Source organism: Homo sapiens, chromosome 4, assembly GCF_000001405.40.
Source record: "Homo sapiens chromosome 4, GRCh38.p14 Primary Assembly".
In the NCBI taxonomy this organism is placed as follows: domain Eukaryota; kingdom Metazoa; phylum Chordata; class Mammalia; order Primates; family Hominidae; genus Homo; species Homo sapiens.
The window spans coordinates 48884730-48906941 of record NC_000004.12 but is presented as its reverse complement, the minus strand read 5'-3'; the positions used below and the strand labels follow the sequence as shown (position 1 = coordinate 48906941).

General features: G+C 41.8%; 1 protein-coding gene across 5 annotated transcripts, besides 1 other annotated feature; it reads left to right on the top strand.

The window, feature by feature from the left end:
• On the top strand, nt 114-21923 carry OCIAD2 (OCIA domain containing 2). Of its 5 annotated transcripts, NM_001014446.3 has the most exons (7): nt 168-284; nt 2331-2458; nt 7017-7113; nt 9085-9138; nt 12889-12936; nt 14053-14170; nt 21377-21923. In NM_001014446.3, exons 2-7 carry the CDS (start codon nt 2393-2395, stop codon nt 21456-21458), a joined length of 465 nt encoding a protein of 154 aa, NP_001014446.1. In that variant the 5' UTR covers nt 168-284; nt 2331-2392; the 3' UTR covers nt 21459-21923. The 5 variants fall into 5 exon arrangements, 4 of the variants coding, with proteins under 4 accessions (NP_001014446.1, NP_001273703.1, NP_689611.1 ...); NM_001286774.2 differs by lacking the exon at nt 7017-7113; NM_152398.4 differs by lacking the exon at nt 14053-14170.
• Nucleotides 231-490: a silencer, noted in NCBI's record as "silent region_15415". NCBI's record gives its function as "represses an Ori minimal core promoter by ATAC-STARR-seq in GM12878 lymphoblastoid cells {active_cell/tissue: GM12878}" and the evidence as "EXISTENCE:reporter gene assay evidence [ECO:0000049][PMID:35858748]".
• Nucleotides 21924-22212: the final 289 nt, after the last annotated feature.

Sequence of the window (22212 nt, the reverse complement as noted above, 5' to 3'; positions counted from 1 at the left end):
GATGGGGCAGGGGTTCCGGCAAGAGCTGGGTTCCAGCCTGGGTTGCCACCAACAGCGAAAGTGACTGCCAGGTGGCAGTAGGGTGACTTCACCAGCTTAAGTGCTTAGCGGGCAGGCGAGGGGGCGGAGCAAGAGAAGAAAACACAAAGGGCCGGAAGGAAGCCGGGGAGACAGGTGGGGTACTCGGGAAGCTGGAGCGGGCCGGCGGTGCAGTCACGGGGGAGCGAGGCCTGCTGGGCTTGGCAACGAGGGACTCGGCCTCGGAGGCGACCCAGACCACACAGGTGAGCCCCCGCCCCGGGGAGTGTTGACGGCGGGAGGGGGTGGCCTCGGGGGAACGCGGCGCCGCAGGGCAGTCCTTCGAAGGCCGCGCGGTGCAGCGGTGGCCGCCCCCCACTCTCCCCTAACTCGGACCCCGGCGGCCCCGGCACGGGCGAGGGGCTGGGGAGCTTGGGGTGGCGCTGGCTGCTTCTGGCCAGGGATGGCAGCGGACTCCAGTAGGCTGACTCCCGGCTTCCCCGACCGCATCAGAAAGTGCAGTGTCCCCCGTCCGCCGTCCAGCCCTGCAGGCGCCCCCCTCCAAGCCATCCTAAGAAGCACCCCCGCCCCCCATGCTGGGGCGCGCCCTCCTCCGCACATTCGTCGGTCAGCACCCACGAACCCACGGGTCCCTTCCCCACCACTGAGGAAACAGAGGGTCCCCGGACCACCCCAGCGTGGGGGGTGGGAGCTACACCTGCAAGGCAAGACCCTCGGAAGGCTTGCTTTTAGGTGCAGACTGAGGACTAAGTGGGTGCCAGGGGACCTGGCCACCGAAGCTGAGAGGTATATTTGCCTCCCAATATAGGGCAGCGGCCTAATGGCTAAGCAAAGATAATCTAATTTGGCGTGGTCAGCAAAGACTTCCTGGGAGTGCTCAGGAAATGGAAGGTGTGCAGGGGCTTTATGGACGTATCCCTCATCCTCATCCTCATCCTAGTCTTCATTCCTGCAAGAGCCCCTCACCATTGTTGTGTCCATTATGCCCAATTAACAGTGGAGAAAGCTGAGGCAGAGACGGATTAAGTCATTTGCACCAAAGGGATCGCAGGGGTAAAGAGTCACGATTTGAACTCTGGTCTCTCTGACCCCAGTACTTTCCCGTGCAGGGCACCGTGCTGCCCCTGTAATCACATTAGACACCTGTGATGAAACTTGGTGCGAGTACGGGTCCCCTTGGCTCAAATGCCTCAAAGTTTAGTAACTGATGTAGGAAACAGAATTGTATATAAGAGGTTCATTTTGCAGAAGAAAAGCAGAGGTAGAGGTAGAGTTCAGGGCTGCAGAATGCAGTGGCCACTGGGGGCAGGAGGAGGCTCAAAGTCCACCTGGATTATGTCCATCATTGCCAAATCCAGGGTCCACTTTTCTAAGCCATGTGATGGTGTTGATGATTCACTCCCTCCTTCAGAAATTCCCTCCCCTCTGTATCAGCTATTCCTTCTCAGTCATTTCCTTGGCCTGCTTTTTTTTTTTTAATCTTTCTTCTCTTTTCGATATTCCCTTGGGCTCAGTGTTCATATTCTCCAGTACTGTTTTTAGACACATTTATTAAAGTTCCCTGCTTTAACTCTCATCTCTATGATGGCAGCTCCCAACTTCATCTCTCTAGCCTACCCCTGTTCTGGAACTCTAGACCCAAATCGTCAAATATTAACAGTGGCTAATTCCACTGTTTGCCCCCACAGGCACCCAAATCCAACATTTCCAAACCCAAATTTAGCATCTCTATCAAAGATGCTAAATTCCCACCAGGGTCTTTGTTCACGTCCCTGTAACTCCTTGTCTGGACTAGTGTACCACCTTCCAACCTGGTCCTCCTGCCCCAGAGTCCATCTACCCTCCACAGATCCTCCTGAAAGCTTAGGAGTCCTAGTTCCTTTGTGACATGACTAGATGGAATGGACCCTGCTTTCTTTTCTTCCTTAGCATCCCATGCATACTTTTCATGTTGTGTAACTGTTGACTTGTCTATCTCCCCTTTTGGACTGTGAATTCCTTCACAGCGGTGATCTTGTCTTATCCTTCTTCATATCCCCTGGCCTGGCACATAATCGACACTCAGTGCACAGTGTGGTATTTCCACTCTATTCTAAATCTGATCTGTCCCCATTAGTGAGTGCATGTATGTGTGCTGGTGGAAGAGGAGCACTGGAAGTTGAGTTTGCAGATGGACTAATGACAAAAGGAAAAACACATTTTCCAAATAACTCCAGTGGATCCTCAGGATGCTTTTAAGCTTGATGCAAACATTTAGTCATGGCATAGTGATTCTCTTCTACCTTCCTTAGACACTGGGTCAAGGAGTAAGCAGAGGATAAACAACTGGAAGGAGAGCAAGCACAAAGTCATCATGGCTTCAGCGTCTGCTCGTGGAAACCAAGATAAAGATGCCCATTTTCCACCACCAAGCAAGCAGGTATACTTTTATATTTATTGATCGATTCATTGATTGAGACACGATCTCACACTGTCACCCAGACTGGAGTGCAGTGGTGCAGTCATGGCTCACTGCAGTCTCGAACTGCTGGATTAAGTGATCCTCCTACTTGAGCTTCTCACTTAACTGGGATGACAGGTGCAGGCCCACATGCCTGGCTAATTTTTTTTGTGGTTAGACATGAGGTCTCACTATATTGCCCAAGCTGGTCTCAAACACCTGGCCTCAATTAATCCTCCTATCTAGGCCTGCCAAAGTGCTGGGATTACAGGCGTGAGCCACCATGCCTGGTCAGGTATACTTTTAATTGCAGGACCTGCCATCTGAAAAAATATATATCATAGGATTTTTATTAAATTTCAACTTTAACCAGTCATCTTATTTTTTTCAGTCTGGCACTTTGTTGGATGGGCTTAGGGAAAATAGGATGGGGAAGGAAAGTGTGTTTTCAGCTGCTTTGAAAAGAAGCTGAAATTTAAAATTTAAAATTTAAAATTTTATTTACAAAACTCTTTCTTGGCTGGGCGCGGTGGCTCACGCCTGTAATCCCAGCACTTTGGGAGGCCGAGGCGGGTGGATCACGAGGTCAAGAGATCGAGACCATCCTGGCCAACATAGTGAAATCCCATCTCTACTAAAAATACAAAAAAATAGCCGGGCATGGTGGCTGGTGCCTGTAGTCCCAGCTACTCAGGAGGCTGAGGCAGGAGAATGGCATGAACCCAGGAGGCGGAGCTTGCAGTGAGCCGAGATCAGGCCGCTGCACTCCAGCCTGGCAACAGAGCGAGACTCTGTCTCAAAAAAAAGAAAAAAAAAAAAAAAAAAAACCCTTTCTTTACTCTTTCCTGTTTGTAATCCAGCCTTACTAACTCTTAGATGAACTGTCAGTGACTGAAGAGGTTTCTGATAGCAGAGCAAAACTCTTAATAGACTCTAACAGAGTGATACATGTTGCTTATTTATTTTTATTTATCCTTTCATTTATTTTTTAGAGATGGGGGTCTCATTATATTGCCCAGGCTGGTCTCAAACTCCTGAGCTCAAATGATCCTCCCACCTCAGCCTCCCAAAGTGCTGAGATTACAGGCAATATTTTGCTTATTTTTTTACATTTATATTACTGTAAGTAATCACACTAATCCTATGCTGCTGACAGGTGTTCCTGTTCAGGGTGGCAGAGTCCTTTATTACTAATTAGCTAGCAGATTGAGAACCCAAGTGTTAACATGGAAACAATTTTTCAACTTGTTAGGAATGGATATTGTGTATTTCAGGAATACATCAATGAAGAAAAGAGAAAGCATTTGATGGGTCAATGGCGTTCATGTTCAAGCTAAAAATAGTGTAATAGCAGTAATGTTTAAGGAGCAAAGTTTAGGCGAGGCAAACAGACAAATGATAGAAAGTCACAAGGAGAATTATTTGGACACCTGAGTTGCCTCTGTGAAATGGAGAGTCATCAAACATTCATGGCTATACAGAAAATGATAACCAGAGATCCTTTTTTTTTGAGATGGAGTCTCACTCTGTCATCCAGGCTAGAGTGCTATGGAACAATCTTGGCTCACTGCAACCTCCACCTCCTGGGTTCAAGCAATTCTCCTACCTCAGCCTCCCGAGTAGCTGGGATTATAGGCACCTGCCGCCATGCCTGACTAATTGTTGCATTTTTAGTAGAGATGAAGTTTCACCATGTTGGCGAGGCTGGTCTGGAACTCCTGACCTCAAGTGATCTGCCCGCCTCAGCCTCCCAAAGCCTGGGATTACAGGCTGATGGCAGGACTGGAAGCAATTGTGATAGCCAGGGTGTGTGCATTTGTTTATTAAGGGGAGGCAGTCCTTATTTCTGCCCCAGGCACAGCCAAGAGCAAGAGCAAATATTCACCCTGGGCATCTGGAGGCATGCCTGTGCTAAGTAAGGAAGGTAAGTGGAGACTGAGAGCAACTCCTTCTCCTGCTGCTGTGACTCACCCTGGGACTTACTGCATCTTTGCACTGTGCCTTGGGGAGTTGCAGGGAAAGAAGAGGGAGGTTGCCCATTTGGACTGTTTGTAGAGCTCCACAGACACTGGTGCCAGAGGGTTTCTCCACCCCTTTTATTGACATCATGCATGTAAAGTGCTTGGCACAGGACCAGGCCCATACAAAGTGCTCAAGAAATGGTGACCATCTGTACATTGACATCTATTACACAGAAAGAGTCTAAAAAAGACAGTGGCAAGATCAGCACAATCAAACTACACTTCAAGAGTTAAGGAGCTGCACCTCAACCAGAAAAACACTAAAACCTTGGAGATAAATGGCAAATAACACACATAAATAATTCACAAACAAGGAAATATGAGTGTGACTTCTATAGTAAGGAACAAGTTAAATTTAAAAAAAAAACTTAATGGGGCTAGGCATGGTGACTCATACCTGTAACCCCAGCACTTTGGGAAGCCAAAGCGGGACAAACACTTGAGTCCAGGGGTTCAAGACCAGCCTGAGACACATAGTGAGAACGCCCCCCCCACGCCTCCCCCAGCTCTATTAAAAAAATGGTTTTTTCAATTAGCTGGGCATGATGGTGTGCACCTATAGTCCCAGCTACTCAGGAGGCTGAGGTGGGAGGTTAACTTGAGCCCAGGAGTTCGAGGCTGCAGTGAGCTATGATGGCACCACTATACTCCAGCCTGGGTGACAGAGCGAGACCCTGTCTCTAAAAAAAATAAAAATAAAATGGTCAAAATGGCAAATGTTATATGTATTTTTCCACAAAAAAATTAATGAGCCAATATATAACAAAAGATTACAACCCAGATCCAATTACAGGAATTGCCTGACAACTAGAGGAGAAGGGCAGTGTAGCTGAAAAATATGTAGAGATAGTCAAACACATTCGTTATCAAAGAAGTACAAACAGGATAATAAATGTTACTTTATACCTATCAGCTTAGAAAACTGGATAATTCCAAGTGTTAGAAAATTCTTTCTTTAACTTGCTTGGAATCTTCTTTACCCATACCTAGCTCTTACACAGGCTGCGGAGCCATAAGGGAATGTTCAGGCCCTGCGGGTAGGAGTGGAGACTGCAACAATTGAGAGCGGTCTAGCAAGACTCTGTCACAGTGAGAATATGCACACCCTGAGCTTTACTTCTAGTTTCATGTCTGAAAAATGTTCTCTCATGGGTCCATAGGGGAACATGAGGTGGTAGGAACTCAGAGACATTGTGCACAGTTATGCAGCAGTTAGAAGCAGCAGACTAGATGAATACAGCAACATGGGTGGATCTTAAAAGCATAGAGCTGAGTTGAGAATATTTGAAGAATAAAATATATAAAACAGTGCTATTTACATTAAAAAGATACATTCACCCAAAATAATGAACATTTTGCAAGAATGGATAGAAATAAAAGAACCACATTAAACACTCAGAATGGTTGTGATGGGCAGAGGGGAAGGAGTGGAGAATGTGGACAAGAGCGAGTGATTAAAGCATATGTACCTACAAAGCCAAAGGAATGGTAAGAGATGGGAGTTGGTCTAGATGATAGCATATGAACTTGATTAAAAAAACACCGCAAGGCTGGGATCAGTGACTTACGCCTGTAATCCTAGCACTTTGGAAGGCCGATGAGGGCAGATTGCTTGAGCTCAGGAGTTTGAGACCAGCCTGGGCAACATGGCAAAACCCCATTGTCACTATAGTCCTAGCTTCTAGGGGAGCTAAGGTAGGAGGATTGCTTGAACCTGGAAGGTAGAGTCTGCAGTGAGCCAAGATCACGCCCTTGCATTCTAGCCCAGGTGACAAAATGAGACCTTATCAAAAAAAAAAAAAACACTGCAGAACCTACTATGTACCCACAACGATTAAAATTTTTTTAAATTTTTAATAAATAATTCCCAAAAAATACTACAGAACTAATAAAAAGTTATGTCAACCATGTCAATAGTTGCACCAGAAATTATGTGCACACCACTTATAAATGTGTAAAAAAAAAAGCATCCAGATTGAAAGTAAACTAAACTATGTCAAATAATAAAAAGCAGTCCACAGTCTAAAAATGCATACAGAAGTGCATATATACATAGGTTCTCTGAGTGTGATGCTCAATGTCTAAATATTGTGCTATAGGGAAAATCTCTTTCCTCACCCAGGAGACAATGTTCAGCTGGGTGTTAAGGCCAGTCAGGCGAAGGGAGTGAACAGCATTCTAGGTATAGTAAACCACATAGAGGCATGGAGGTAGGGAAGGAAATGTGGCCTCAGCAGGGATTCAGCCTGATCGCAAATCTGCTGCCTGCAAATCTGCTGCCTGCGCCAGTCAGTGAATCACTCCCACTCTCCGACTAGAATTCTTCTGTTGCCTAAGTCCATCAGTGTTCCCAGTGAGAAAGCACTCTTGGAAACTGATAATTGCTTTGGGCTGCCTCTGGTAGAGAACACACACTGTGTAACAAGTGAAGAGACCTCCCTGTTCTCTTCTGTAGAAAACAAAGTGGGTGATTTTTCAATGACCTCAGTTAGCTCACCATATAACTTTCCTTACAGAGCCTGTTGTTTTGTCCAAAATCAAAACTGCACATCCACAGAGCAGAGATCTCAAAGATTATGCGAGAATGTCAGGAAGAAAGTTTCTGGAAGAGAGGTAATTGCACCTAACACTGTATTTGTGGCAGTAAACTGCCTAAATATCATATTAGAATTGTGGTAATGACTTACGTTTGAGCAGAGACTTTGCATAAATATCTGATGAACTCTGATATTCAGGGATGTTTAGAGTTTAAATCCAAGTTCAGACCTTTTTTAGGGCAGAGATAATATCTGATTAAGGAGCACTTTACCTCACTTAGCAAAAAGTGATGCACACTTAACTCTTCCCTTTACCAAGAATATGTGACCAAGAACGTGTACCAAGACAATTATTTAGAATTTGCTGACTCCCAAAGAGTGGACCTTCCTACATTCTACCAGACTCTAAGTTTCATAGGGTTCAGAAATAATGTCAAGTTCATCTGAAACTTCATTCTAGAGCCTAGCACAGTGCCCTGTTCATAGAAAATTCCTAATCGATATTTCTCTAATGAATGAAGAATGGCCGCGTTCCATTAATACTTCGCTTACACTGTCTCTGAAATAACATTTTCAGCTGAGTCACTTCCTCTTTCTGAGCCTGCCTCACATAAGACAAGAGTGTGAGTGAATTCAGGCTGTGTATTAAGGTCCCTTCCAATTAAAAAAATGTGTGATATAGCATTTGAAAATGGCAGAGTAGAACCTGTAGATACAGTCTTGATATTTTGCAACATTGCTGATGTGTGGATAATTTATACTTTGAAATACTCATTTTGATTTCTTAAGTCATTCAAATTTAGTGTCACCTGTTTTAGAAATAACACTTTCTAGAAGTTGATATTCTTTATACATTATGGGATTACTGACTGTGCTTCCAGAAATTCATGTGTTTTCTGACAACTTATGAGTTGTCAGAAAATTTAATTGGGCCCTAGTAGATTAACACTTCACTATGACCAATTTGCCCACTATGGGGTAGCTATGAGTGGAAAAATTGGTTGCTATTTGATTTGTCTTTGTTGAACTAGAAAGAGCTACATGTTTATCACTACTCTCTGCTTTTGAAAGAAGTCATTTGACACATATTGATGGACAGAACTAGAAATTGCCTTTCCCAGACTAAATTTCCTGTTTTAAAATTATAGCTAAACATTACACATGTTTAACGTGAACATAGTCATCTTGTAATCTTTAATTTGGATTTTCAGCAAATCCAAATTGTAAGACAAAATGTCATGAAAAAGAGAAAGAAAGGCAAGGAACTGTCCTAGACTAAAGCACATAGGAGAGTATGTGTAACGTATGACTCCTGAATTTCTGAGTTGGAAAAAACCCACAGCTATTGGGCCAACTGGAGAGATTTGAATAACTATTGTGTATAAGTTAATATAATTTTTCTTGAGTATGAGTGTTCAAGAAATATAAATGTTTTGACCATGCTAATGGTGGTGTAATTGTGTAGGGAAACATTCTTGTTTTTAGAAGACAACTGCTGAAGTATTTAGTGACAAAGAGTCATAATGTTTGCAAATCTCAAATGGCTCAGACAAAAAAGGAAAAATTAGAAAGAGATAAAGCAAATTTGGCAAAATGTTCACAATTAATGAATCTAGATGAAGGGTATGTAGGAGTTTATTGTATTGCTTTTTATCATTTGTGTAGGATTGAAAATTTCAAAATATACACATAGCTAAAGGCAACTCCCAAATTCAACAGGTCAATGTACATATACCCTAAGATGCCTTTATTATATGTAGTGCTTAGAATCTGGTGCATGTTGGCATTCAGTACAAGTGGATGTCAGACATGAAGTAGAATAGGGTTCAAATTAATGCTGTGCCTCAGGGTAAGTGACTGGAGAAGATTCCAAGAAAATTCTCCATGCTGCACTTAATAAATATTTGTTGAATAAGTAAAATAACAAATGAATAAAAATTCACTGCCAAGGAAGGTAAGAGAAAAAGCTCAGAATAATTTTCCCTAACTTCTAGGTGAGGTGCCAATTTTTAAAATACCAATATTGAAGGACATTTTTGCTTTACAGCTCTGCCTTTTTCTCTTGTAAGCATGCTTGTCACCCAGGGACTAGTCTACCAAGGTAAGATTCAATATTTGTTAAATAATCTAATTTCAGAGAGCCCAGTTTACTGTGACCCTCCTGGCAGCTTTTTGGCCCTTGACATTTATTTTTTGGTGAAGGATGTATTTATGCAGACTTCTGCCTATTTTCAGCCTAAGTCCCCATCTCCCCAGAAAGCATCCTAATCCCCAGAATTAGTGAATATATTGGGTTACATGGCAAAAGGAAATTAAAGTTGCAGATGGAATTAAGGTTGTTAATCACCTGACCTTAAAATAGGGAGAGTATCCTGGGTGATCCAGGTGGGCCCAGTGTAATTGAAAGGGTCCTTACAAGTGAAAGGCGGGATCTGAAGATGGAATCAGAGAGGCGGCAATGTGAGGCCTCAGCTCAACATTGTTGGCCTTGAAGATGGAGGAAGGGACCATTAGTGGAGGAATGTGGGCAGCCTCAAGAAGCTAGAAAGGCAAGAAACCCTTGAGCCTCCAGTTAGGAATGCAGCCCATTTAAGGAACACAGTTAAAACCTTGGTTTTCATCCGGTAAGACCCATTTTGACCTCAAGAACTGTAAGATAATAAATTTGCTTTGTTTACAGGAACTACAGAGAAGCAATCCTGTGCCTTTCTCTGTGCCGGAGTCCTGTGTCTCCCAAGGCCTCTGTATATGGTTAGACAGATGGTTCCCTGTACAAATAAGGATGTTGCAGGGAGGAGGTGGGGGGAGCTAAAATCCACCCTAAGCTGTGTCCACCACACCATTTCTTTTGGCAAGAGGCTGCATCTGCCTGAGGAGGGCACCCTGTCTCCTCCATACAAGAGACCGTAAGGACCAGCAGCTGCCTTGCATCTCACCACATAACCTCTCCCTGCCTCTTAGCGTTTTCCTGTTTTCCTCTCTGTTCTTCCTTCTTCATCTCCTCCCTGTCTCCACCTGACCAGAGAACCCAGAGACATTCCTTAGTCCACAGGTGGCAAGAAGGCACCTTATCTTGTTTAAGCCCATTTTATCAAACACTGCTGATTAACAGGATTTTGCTATTTTTTTTTTTAAATGAGACGAGGTCTTGCTATGTTGCCCAAGCTGTCCTCAAACTGTTGGGCTCAAGCAATCCTCGCCACTAGACCTCCTGAGTACCTGGGATTATAGGCACGTGCCACCATGCCTGGCTTCTGATTATCAGGACTTTATGGGGATCTTGGGGTTTTGTTTTGTTGGTTTTTGGTTCGTTTGTTTGTTTTTGAGACAGGGTCTCACCCTCATCCAGTGCAGTGATATAATGGCTCCCTGCAGTCTCAACCTCCTGGGCTCGAGTGACGCTCCCATCTCAGCTTCCCAAGTAGCTGGGTCTATAGACACATGCCACCACACCCAGCTAATTTTTTTTTTAATTTTTGCAGAGACAGTGTCTCACTATATTGCCTAGGCTGGTCTCGAACTCCTGAGCTCTTGTGATCCTCCCACCTCAGCCTCCCAAAGTGCTGGGATTACAGGCATGAGCCATCACACCCAGCCTTGATTACCAGGATCTTAAAAGGAACATTTGTACCAGTAAATATGAGGGAAGAAGTCCTAGTTCTTTTCTGGGTCTCAAAAACCACATGTCACATATCTAGGAGAATCCCACTTTGACCAATATCATTCTTGTCCATAAAGGTCATATATTAAATATGATTTTATTTTTATAATTTGAAGATAGCATTTTTCAGATCATTTTTGACACATAAAAATATTGGGGCTGGGACATCTATGGGGATTATGGGTTTTTTGTTTGTCTATTTGTTTGTTTTTTAGATGGAGTCTCACTCTGTCGCTCCGGCTGGAGTGCAGTGGTGTGATCTCGGCTCACTACAACCTCCACTTGCTGGGTTCAAGCAATTCTCCTGCCTCAGCCTCCCTAGTAGCTGGGATTGCAGGCCTGTGCTACCACATCCAGCAAATTTTTGTATTTTTAGTAGAGACAGGGTTTCACCATGTTGGCCAGGCTGGTCTCAAACTCCTAACCTCAAGTGATCTGCCCACCTCAAGTGATCTGCCCATCTCAGCCTCCCAAAGTGCTGAGATTGCAGGCAAGAGCCACCGCACCCAGCCAGGATTATGTTTTATAAGTATTAAAATACTCCAAATCTACTGCTTGTGGTGTGAATGTCTCCTTCAAAACTCAGGGTGAAATTTAACTGCCATTGTAACAGTATCAAGAGGTGGGGCCTTTAAGAGGTTAAGTTATGAGGGCTCCACCCTCGTGAATTGATTACTACCATTATCATGGGAGTGAGTTCCTTATAAAAAGGATGTGTTCAGCCTCTCCTCTTGCTCTCTGTTTCATGCACTTCCTTGCCATGGGATAACCCTCACTACATGCCAGCTCTGTGCTCTTGGACTTCTCAGCCTCCAGAACTGTGAGCCAAGTGAACTTCTGTTCTTTATAAATTATCCAGCGTATGGTATTCTGTTATAGCAGCAGAAAACAGACTAAGACATCTACCATTTTTTGCATCTATGCTAATACATTTTTTTCAGAGTTTGATATCAGTTTTCTATAACTTCTCTAACAAATTACCACAGAGTGACTTAAAACAACACAAATGTATTATCTTACAGTCCTTGGAAATCAGAATGCTGAAATGGGTCTCACTGGGCTAAAATCAAGGCGTCGCCCCAGCTGTGTTCTTCTGGAGGCTCTTGGGCTTCCTTTTCCTTTCTCGTTTCTAGAACCATGCATATTTCTTAACCGGTGGCCCCTTCCTATGACTGTAAAGTCAGCAACATTGAGCCAAGTTCTTCTGTTGCTGCCATCTCTCTGCCTGTCACCAGTTTCCTCTTCCACACTGAAGGATGACATTGGGTACACCTTGATCATCTCTCTCTTTTAAAGTCATCTGATTAGCAACATTAGTTCCATTTTCTACCTTAATCCCCCTTTTGGGACATAATATATTCACCTTTTCCAGGAATTCGGATGTGGGTATCTCTAAAAGGCCATTATTCTAACTACCATGAGTTGTACTGTTTGCATTGTAAAATAATGATATACACTGTGAATCTCCAAATGGAAACTTTCTATGTTAAGTTACTTAAAAAGAAAAGAGGGTGCACATGTACCCTAGAACTTAAAGTATAATTTTAAAAAAAAGAGGATGATGACTAATCTCTTTGAACACTGTTGTTAGCCCTACCTTTGCTTGATGTCTTTGAATCAGTCTTGAACTGTCTTTTTCATATTATTTTTCTACACATTACAGCTAATATTTGTAATTTGCCTAAAATGACTATCTGGGAGTTCAATTCAACTGAGAATTGAATCATAACTCCTTTAAGATCTTTTTTTTTGAGATGGAGTCTCGCTCTGTCACCCAGGCTGGAGTGCATCGGTGCCATCTCAGCTCACTGCAACCTCCGCCTCCTGGGTTCAAGCGATCCTCCTGCCTCAGCCTCCTGAGTATCTGGGATTACAGGCACCCACCATCATGCCTGGCTAAGTTTTGTATTTTTTTAGTGGAGACGGGGTTTCACCATGTTGGCCAAGCTGGTTTCGAACTCCTGACCTCAGGTGATCTGCCCGCCTCGGCCTCCAAAGTGCTGGATTACAGGCGTAAGTGACTGCGCCCAGCCAAGATCATCTTTTTAAAGTCAGAATATGTATACATTTAAGAAATTTTATGTCTTAAATTTTGGAGGTTTCTTTATACTTTAAGAATAACTTATAATTTATAACTTATAATTTAATTTATGAAATGAAATAATAATGTTTTTCTTTATTACTCCTTAGGTTATTTGGCAGCTAATTCTAGATTTGGATCATTGCCCAAAGTTGCACGTAAGTCATAGAAATAAAAAAGCAAGCCAAGTGTGGTGGCTCACATCTGTAATCCCAGCACTTTGGGAGGCTGAGGTGGGTAGATTGCTTGAGTCCAGGAGTTCGAGACCAGCCTGGGCAGCATGGTGAAACCTTGTATCTATTTTTTTAAAAAGTAATAAATAAATAAAAACTTTGAAAAAAAGACATTACTAGCAACTGGAGATACGAATGTCCAGCCTAACTAAACTGCCTGTATTGACTTTTGGAAAAATCAGCCCCTATTTTCTGCCACTCTGCATTTCTTAGTTCACTCAACACTTTCTGATATACAGCTTAGCAGTTGGGACTTCTTCTTAGACCATCCTTAAAGCATGGACTAAGAGGGACTGGCAGGATATATAATGAGATTATCAATAGCAGAGCCTCTGCATGATAGATCATTTATGGATTTTTATTTTCTTCTTTTGCCCTGGCCAGTCTTTTCAAAATGTTTTCTACGATGGATATAAAAAATGAGTAATTTTTAAGAATCAGGGGATTTCTAATAATAGAGTAACCACAAACTTGGGGTTTCATCTTCCTTCACCTGGTATCAATAGATCTTTTATGTACAAAAAGGACACATTTTAGTTGATAGTCTGAAACCACATTCATTCCTAGCAGGAGGAACAGATTCGAGATCTCTTCCATAGGAGGGTCCCTCTCCTTTGTGACCTCTCTCCTATAGGCAAGATGGACTGAAGCTCTCCACTACTCCAAGGCCATAAGGAAGATTAGGGGCATTTCTACCCAGTGATTTGGAAGCTACCTATAGCCACAACCCAGCCACCTTCCCCTGCCCCCGTGGCCTCAACCGTTTGCTTGACAGGTGGGCCCTCTCTGGCCATCTGTCTCCAGGACAGCACTGTGGCTTGCTCTGTCCTGGCCCTTCCACCACCAGTGCAAAGTTGAGATGGGGAAGTCTCCAGTTCCCAATCCTGTTCTTTTTAAATAGAGACTTCATTCTCAGAGTCTTCATTCATTGATTTAGCGTGGTCCTTTTAATTTTAAAATTACCAGCGTTGATTTTTAAAGCTCTAGAAAATAACTAATGGAGAAGATTCTCAACTAATCTCTCCCAACCTGCTTTTACAGTTGCTGGTCTCTTGGGATTTGGCCTTGGAAAGGTATCATACATAGGAGTATGCCAGAGTAAATTCCATTTTTTTGAAGATCAGCTCCGTGGGGCTGGTTTTGGTCCACAGCATAACAGGTTTGTAATCTGTTTGGTTGAGGGATTGTAATGTAATTATAAGAAATTAAATGAAAGATTACTCACTATTTATAATATTAAACACAATTTTTTAAATTCACATGTAAAAAAAGTTTTAACCCTCAAGTTTAGCGTTGTTGTTACCCAACTTCAATAATAACTTTGTTATTACACTTACTTACCAATTTCATTTGTTTGATAAATATTTAATGGGAATCTACTGTGTTCAAACATTGTGCAAGTTACTAAAGAATTCCTCAATGAGCAGATATGGCTTCCACCATCACAGAGTCACACAAAACTTTAACAGGTTTCTTTACTGCAGGGCTTCTCAGAGCTTTTTCTATGTTAATACTGTATATATCATGATTCTAAATAGGGGAAATAGGCAGTACGACTTTGGAGTTAATGGCATCACCTCTGCTGTTATAGTACTTGGTTTAAAAACCAGTTCTACCACTTACTAAGTTGTGTGACCCTGCAAGTTTCTTAAGCTCTCTGATCTTCAGTTTCCTTATCTGTATAAAATAGTGATCAAGATAGTTTTTATGAGATGTAAAGAATAGAAATGATTATTCATGACACTCAGTAAGTGCTCAGTAAACATTAGCTATTTCTACTATAGAAGTTACAAGACTAGTGTTGGGGACACATTTCTCTAAACACCCCTCACTGGTCACAGTGGGTTCTATCTGAGAAGCAGCACAATATGGTGAAAACAAACTGGACTAGAAGTCAAAACACCCAAGTTCTTTTTCTAACTATGTGACTTTGGAAAGCCACATTCCCTAGTCCTGTAGTGATAGATGGGGCCTTAATACTGTCTCTTTCTGATGAGCTGCATGAGACCCAAAGAGCTGCAGAGACCTTCTGAAGGTGACACCATTAGCAGTGGGTGGAAAATGGTCTGTCACCTCAGATCATCTGTTTTCCAAACCCTTACTCTTCCCATTACAAGAAGCAAGGCCACCAAAGAATCTATAATTCCATATTTACAGACAACACCAACTTCAGTCCATCCTTGCAAAGTTGTGTTTTAGAGTCAGCTTGCTGAGGAGGAATTGACCACATGATTCCGGTCTGTGCAGGAAAAGAAAGAAAAAGTAGCACAAGTAAAGGAAAGGACTGCTTCCTCTTCCTCTTCCTCTTCAATTTCAGGAGTGTCTTTTGCAATTAACCCACTTTGGATTCCAGAATAATTATGAACACAAGACTGAAATCTACATTTTTCAGACAATGTCTGTTATGAAAGGAGGTGACTGAAGTAACTAGTTTCCAGGGCTCCTTTAAGCTCTGTGTTCTGGGGTTTCATTTTGCCTTCCCACTGCCAGCCATGGCAGCCCCACTCTGGGCTTGCATTCATAGCTGATAATGAATTGCTATGCCCTATGTGAAGGGCCATTACCAGCAAATCTGAGAGGCAATAATTCACAAAGCTATTTGATTTTCTAATTAAAGGAAAGTAGAGTGGGGCACTTAACTCAGTTGAGGTGGAGGGGAGGGTTAAGGAATAGGCATTAAGGACTTCTTGGAGCAAGTGATGATGCTTGACTTGAATCTTAATAGATTCAAGTAGTAGGAGCTACAGCAGAAGCTATGACAAGAGGAGATATAGCAGGAGCTATGGCTATAGTAGGAGCTATAGCAGGGTTGAAGAAGGGGATTCTGGGCCAGGAATAGTATGTAGAGAGGGGAAATTTTCATTTTTAAAGGGAACCATAAATACATCCTATGGCTGGAGCATAAAGAGCTATTGGGAAAGGCAGAGAACAAGCTGGAAGTCCAGGCAGGTAGAGGTCAGCTCCTGAAGGAATTTATGCCATGCTAAGGATTTTCACTTTATTCTCAAAGCAATGGGGGGAAATAAGTGAGAGAAAGGGGTTCCTCCTCCATGTCTTCAGGGTTTTACAATAGCAGTTGCTGGCCTTGCTACCTTCGAAGTAATCCTTCCCACCCAAGCCAGATTGAATGAGTTTTCTATCATTCAAAACACATCCTATCACTGTCCTGCATAAACAAAGTTATCCTGTTGCCAACTCCTCATAGCAGTAAATGTTTGTTGAATTTGTAAGATTATAAAACTTTAATGCAAGAAGGGACTCAAGGACATCTATTTCATATTCAAATGCGAATATTATTCTAGAACGAACCTGTGCATTTTCCTTGGTATCCTAAGGAAACTGGGACAAGTTAGGCAAACTATAAGCCAGAAATTCTGGAAGTATCATGATTTTTTAATTTAAAAAATTATGTGTATATATATGTGCACATATGTGTCCAAATCTAACTCCATAGTCATATAGTTTAATCCTGGATCAATGCACTGTGTGTTTATAATTTTTATGCTATTGTTAGAAATTACTTGAATTCAAAAAGAATCAAGATGTTCAAACTCTGCCTGACCCTGACCACAAATACAACCATCTGTTTCAACATAAAGCTCATTATTGGCTCTTTGAGGGGTGAAATTCTGGGGGTCATAAACCAAGCAACAACTCCTATTATTTCTTTTTTTTTTTAACTTTAAGTTCTGGGGTACATGTGCACAACATTGCAGGTTTGTTACATATGTATGCATGTGCCACGTCGGTGTGCTGCACCCATTAACTCATCATTTACATTAGGTATATCTCCTAATGCTATCTCTTCCCCCTCCCCCCACCCCACAACAAGCCCCGGTATGTAATGTTCCCCTTCCTGTGTCCAAGTGTTCTCATTGTTCAGTTCCCACCTATGAGTGAGAACATGCGGTGTTTGGTTTCTTCTCCTTGCAATAGTTTGCTGAGAATGATGGTTTCCAGTTTCATCCGTGTCCCTGCAAAGGACATGAGCTCATCCTTTTTTATGGCTGTATAGTATTCCAAGGTGTATATGTGCCACATTTTCTTAATCCAGTCTATCATTGTTGGACATTTGGGTTGGTTCCAAGTCTTTGCTATTGTGAATAGTGCCACAATAAACATACCTGTGCATGTGTCTTTATAGCAGCAGGCTTTATAATCCTTTGGGTATATACCCAGTAATGGGATGGTTGGGTCAAATGGTATTTCTAGTTCTAGATCCTTGAGGAATTGCCACACTGTCTTCCATAATGGTTGAACTACTTTACAGTCCCACCAACAGTGTAAAAGTGTTCCTATTTCTCCACATCCTCTCCAGCACCTGTTGTTTCCTGATTTTTTAATGATCGCCATTCTAACTGGTGTGAGATGATATCTCATTGTGGTTTTGATTTGCATTTCTCTGATGACCAGTGATGGTGAGCCTTTTTCATGTGTCTGTTGGCTGCATAAATGTCTTCTTTTAAGAAGTGTCTGTTCATAACCTTTGCCCACTTTTTGATGGGGTTGTTTTTTTCTTGTAAATTTGTTTGAGTTCTTTGTAGATTCTGGATATTAGCCCTTTGTCAAATGTGTAGATTGTAAAAATTTTCAGGAGATAGAGACATAAAAAACCCTTCAAAAAATCAATGAATCCAGGAACTGGTTTTTTGAAAACATCAACAAAATTGATTGACTGCTAGCAAGACTAATAAAGAAGAAAAGAGAGAATAATCAAATAGATGCAATAAAAAGTGATAAAGGGGATATCACCACTGATCCCACAGAAATACAAACTACCGTCAGAGAATACTATAAACACCTCTATGCAAATAAACTAGAAAATCTAGAAGAAATGGATAAATTGCTGGACACATACACCCTCCCAAGACTAAACCAGGAAGAAGTTGAATCCCTTCAGTAGACTAATAACAGGCTCTGAAATTGAGGCAATAATTAATAGCTTACCAACCAAAAAAAGTCCAGGACCAGACGGATTCACAGCCAAATTCTACCAGAGGTACAAAGAGGAGCTGGTACCATTCCTTCTGAAACTATTCCAATCAATAGAAAAAGAGGGAATCCTCCCTAACTCATTTTATGAGGCCAACATCATCTTGATACCAAAGCCTGGCACAGACACAACAAAAAAAAGAGAATTTTAGACCAATATCCCTGATGAACATTGATGCAAAAATCCTCAATAGACTACTGGCAAACCAAATACAGCAGCGCATCAAAAAGCTTATCCACCATGATCAAGTGGGCTTCATCCCTGGGATGCAAGACTGGTTGAACATACGCAAATCAATAAACATAATCTACCATATAAACAGAACCAAAGACCAAAACCACATGATTATCTCAATAGATGCAGAAAAGGCCTTTGACAAAATCCAATAGCCCTTCATGCTAAAAACTCTCAATAAATTAGGTATTGATGGGATGTATCTCAAAATAATAAGAGCTATTTATGACAAACCCACAGCCAATATCATACTGAATGGGAAAAAACTGGAAACATCCTTTTGAAAACTGGCACAAGACAGGTATGCCCTCTCTCACCACTCCTATTCAACATAGTGTTGGAAGTTCTGGCCAGAGCAATCAGGCAGGAGAAAGAAATAAAGGGTATTCAATTAGGAAAAGAGGAAGTCAGATCGTTCCTATTTGCAGATGACATGATTGTGTATTTAGAAAACCCCATCATCTCAGCCCAAAATCTCCTTAAGCTGATAAGCAACTTCAGCAAAGTCTCAGAATACAAAATCAATGTGCAAAAATCACAAGCATTCTTATACACCAACAACAAGCAACAGAGAGCCAAATCATGAGTGAACTCCCATCACAATTGCTTCAAAGAAAATAAAATACCTAGGAATCCAACTTACAAGGGATGTGAAGGACCTCTTCAAGGAGAACTACAAACCACTGCTCAATGAAATAAAAGAGGATACAAACAAATGGAAGAACATTCCATGCTCATGGGTAGGAAGAATCAATATCGTGAAAATGGCCATACTGCCCAAGGTAATTCATAGATTCAATGCCATCCCCATCAAGCTACCAATGACTTTCTTCACAGAATTGGAAAAAACTACCTTAAAATTCATATGGAACCAAAAAAGAGCCCGCATTGCCAAGTCAATCCTAAACCAAAAGAACAAAACTGGAGGCATCATGCTACCTGACTTCAAACTATACTACAAGTCTACAGTAACCAAAACAGCATGGTACTGGGTACCAAAACAGAGATATAGACCAATGGAACAGAACAGAGCCCTCAGAAATAATGCCGCATATCTACAACTATCTGATCTTTGACAAACCTGAAAAAACAAGAAATGGGGAAAGGATTCCCTACTTAATAAATGGTGCTGGGAAAACTGGCTAGCCATATGTAGAAAGCTGAAACTGGATCCCTTCCTTATACCTTATACAAAAATTTATTCAAGATGGATTAAAGACTTAAATGTTAGATCTAAAACCATATGAACCCTAGAAGAAAACCTAGGCAATACCATTCAGGACATAGGCATGGGCAAGGACTTCATGTCTAAAACACCAAAAGCAATGGCAACAAAAGCCAAAGTTGATAAATGGGATCTAATTAAACTAAAGAGCTTCTGCACAGCAAAAGAAACTACCATCAGAGTGAACAGGCAGCCTACAGAATGGGAGAAAATTTTTGCAACCTACTCATCTGACAAAGGGCTAATATCCAGAATCTACAAAGAACTCAAACAAATTTACAAGAAAAAAACAACCCCATCAACAAGTGGGCAAAGGATATGAACAGACACTTCTCAAAAGAAGACATTTATGCAGCCAAAAGACACATGAAAAAATGCTCATCATCACTGACCATCAGAGAAATGCAAATCAAAACCACAATGAGATACCATCTCACACCAGTTAGAATGGCTATCATTAAAAAGTCAGGAAACAACAGGGGCTGGAGAGGATGTGGAGAAATAGGAACACTTTTACACTGTTGGTGGGACTGTAAACTAGTTCAACCATTGTGGAAGTCAGTGTGGCGATTCCTCCGGGATCTAGAACTAGAAATACCATTTGACCCAGCCATCCCATTACTGGTTATATACCCAAAGGATTATAAAGCCTGCTGCTATAAAGACACATGCACACGTATGTTTATTGTGGCACTATTCACAATAGCAAAGACTTGGAACCAACCCAATGTCCAACAATGATAGACTGGATTAAGAAAATGTGGCACATATACACCATGGAATACTATGCAGCCATAAAAAAAGGATGAGTTCATGTCCTTTGTAGGGACATGGATGAAACTGGAAACCATCATTCTCAGCAAGCTATTGCAAGGACAAGAAACCAAACACCGCATGTTCTCACTCATAGGTGGGAACTGAACAATGAGAACACTTGAACACAGGAAGGGGAACATCACACACCAGGGCCTGTTGTAGGGTGGGGGGAGGGGGAAGAGATAGCATTAGGAGATATACCTAATGTAAATGATGAGTTAATGGGTGCAGCACACCAACGTGGCACATGTATACATAAGTAACAAACCTGCACGTTGTGCACATGTACCCTAAAACTTAAAGTGTAATAATTTAAAAAACTATACTACAAGGCTACAGTAACCAAAACAGCATGGTACTGGTACCAAAACAGGAGATATAGATCAATGGAACAGAACAGAGCCCTCAGAAATAATACCACACATCTACAACCATCTGATCTTTGACAAACCTGACAAAAACAAGAAATAAGGAAAGGATTCCCTATTTAATAAATGGTGCTGGGAAAACTGGCTAGCCATATGTAGAAAGCTGAAACTGGATCCCTTTCTTACACCTTATACAAAAATTAATTCAAGATGGATTAATGACTTAAATGTTAGACCTAAAACCATAAAAATCCTAGAAGAAAACCTAGGCAATACCATTCAGGACATAGGCATGGGCAAGGACTTCATGTCTAAAACACCAAAAGCGATGGTAACAAAGGCCGAAATTGACAAATGGGATGTTATTAAGCTAAAGAGCTTCTGCACAGCAAAAGAAACTACCTTCAGAGTGAACAGGCAACCTACAGAATGGGAGAATACTCCTATTATTTCTGAAAAAACAAGGCTAGTGAACTTTAGCATAGACTATATTTCTAATATTGTGTTAAAGCCAGGTGCAGTGGTTCATGCCTGTAGTCTCAGCTACTCAAGAGGGTTGGGTGGGAGGATCCCTTGAGCCCTCGAGACCAGCCTGGGCAACATAGATAGACTCCCCCCACATCTCTATTAAAAAGATTATGTTAAAATAATAAGAATAATATGTTATGTAAAGACTAGGGCTTCCAGTGTCAAAGTACAAACCGCTGTCTATTTTTGCTTCTCTTCTAGGCACTGCCTCCTTACCTGTGAGGAATGCAAAATAAAGCATGGATTAAGTGAGAAGGGAGACTCTCAGCCTTCAGCTTCCTAAATTCTGTGTCTGTGACTTTCGAAGTTTTTTAAACCTCTGAATTTGTACACATTTAAAATTTCAAGTGTACTTTAAAATAAAATACTTCTAATGGAACAAAAACATTGTGTCTGTCACTCACTGAAATGTATTCCGTGGAAGGCTTTCAAGTGAACTAAGCGTTACATGTTTTTCTGCTCTTTAAGAACATGTCGGGGCATGGCGCAGTGGCTCATGCCTGTAATCCCAGTACTTTGGGAGGCCGAGGCAGGCAGATCATTTGAGGTCAGGAGTTCATGACCAGCTTGGCCAACATGGTGAAACCCCATCTCTGCTAAAAATATAAAAATTAGCCAGGCGTGGTGGCACATGCCTGTAATCCCAGCTACTGAGAGGGAGGCTGAGGCAGGAGAATCACTTGAACCCAGGAGGCGAAAGTTGCAGCGAGCAGAGATTGTGCCACTGCACTCCAGCCTGGGTGCCAGAGCTAGACTCCATCACACACACACACACACACACACACACACACACACACACACACACACACAACATGTTAGGAATCCTCACACACACACAAATGACATTGCACCCCCACCCCAACTTGCTTACAGCTAAATAAGAGAATTAAGTCTTCTCAGATTAGCCTCTATTCTTTCTTTTACTCTGCTTTTTTTTTCAGTGTTTTAAGTTATCTGATAGAGAATTGGAATTAATGTTGAAGAAGTTAGGAAGTCATGACCCCAAGAAAATTAATGTGTATGGAGATAGAAACAGG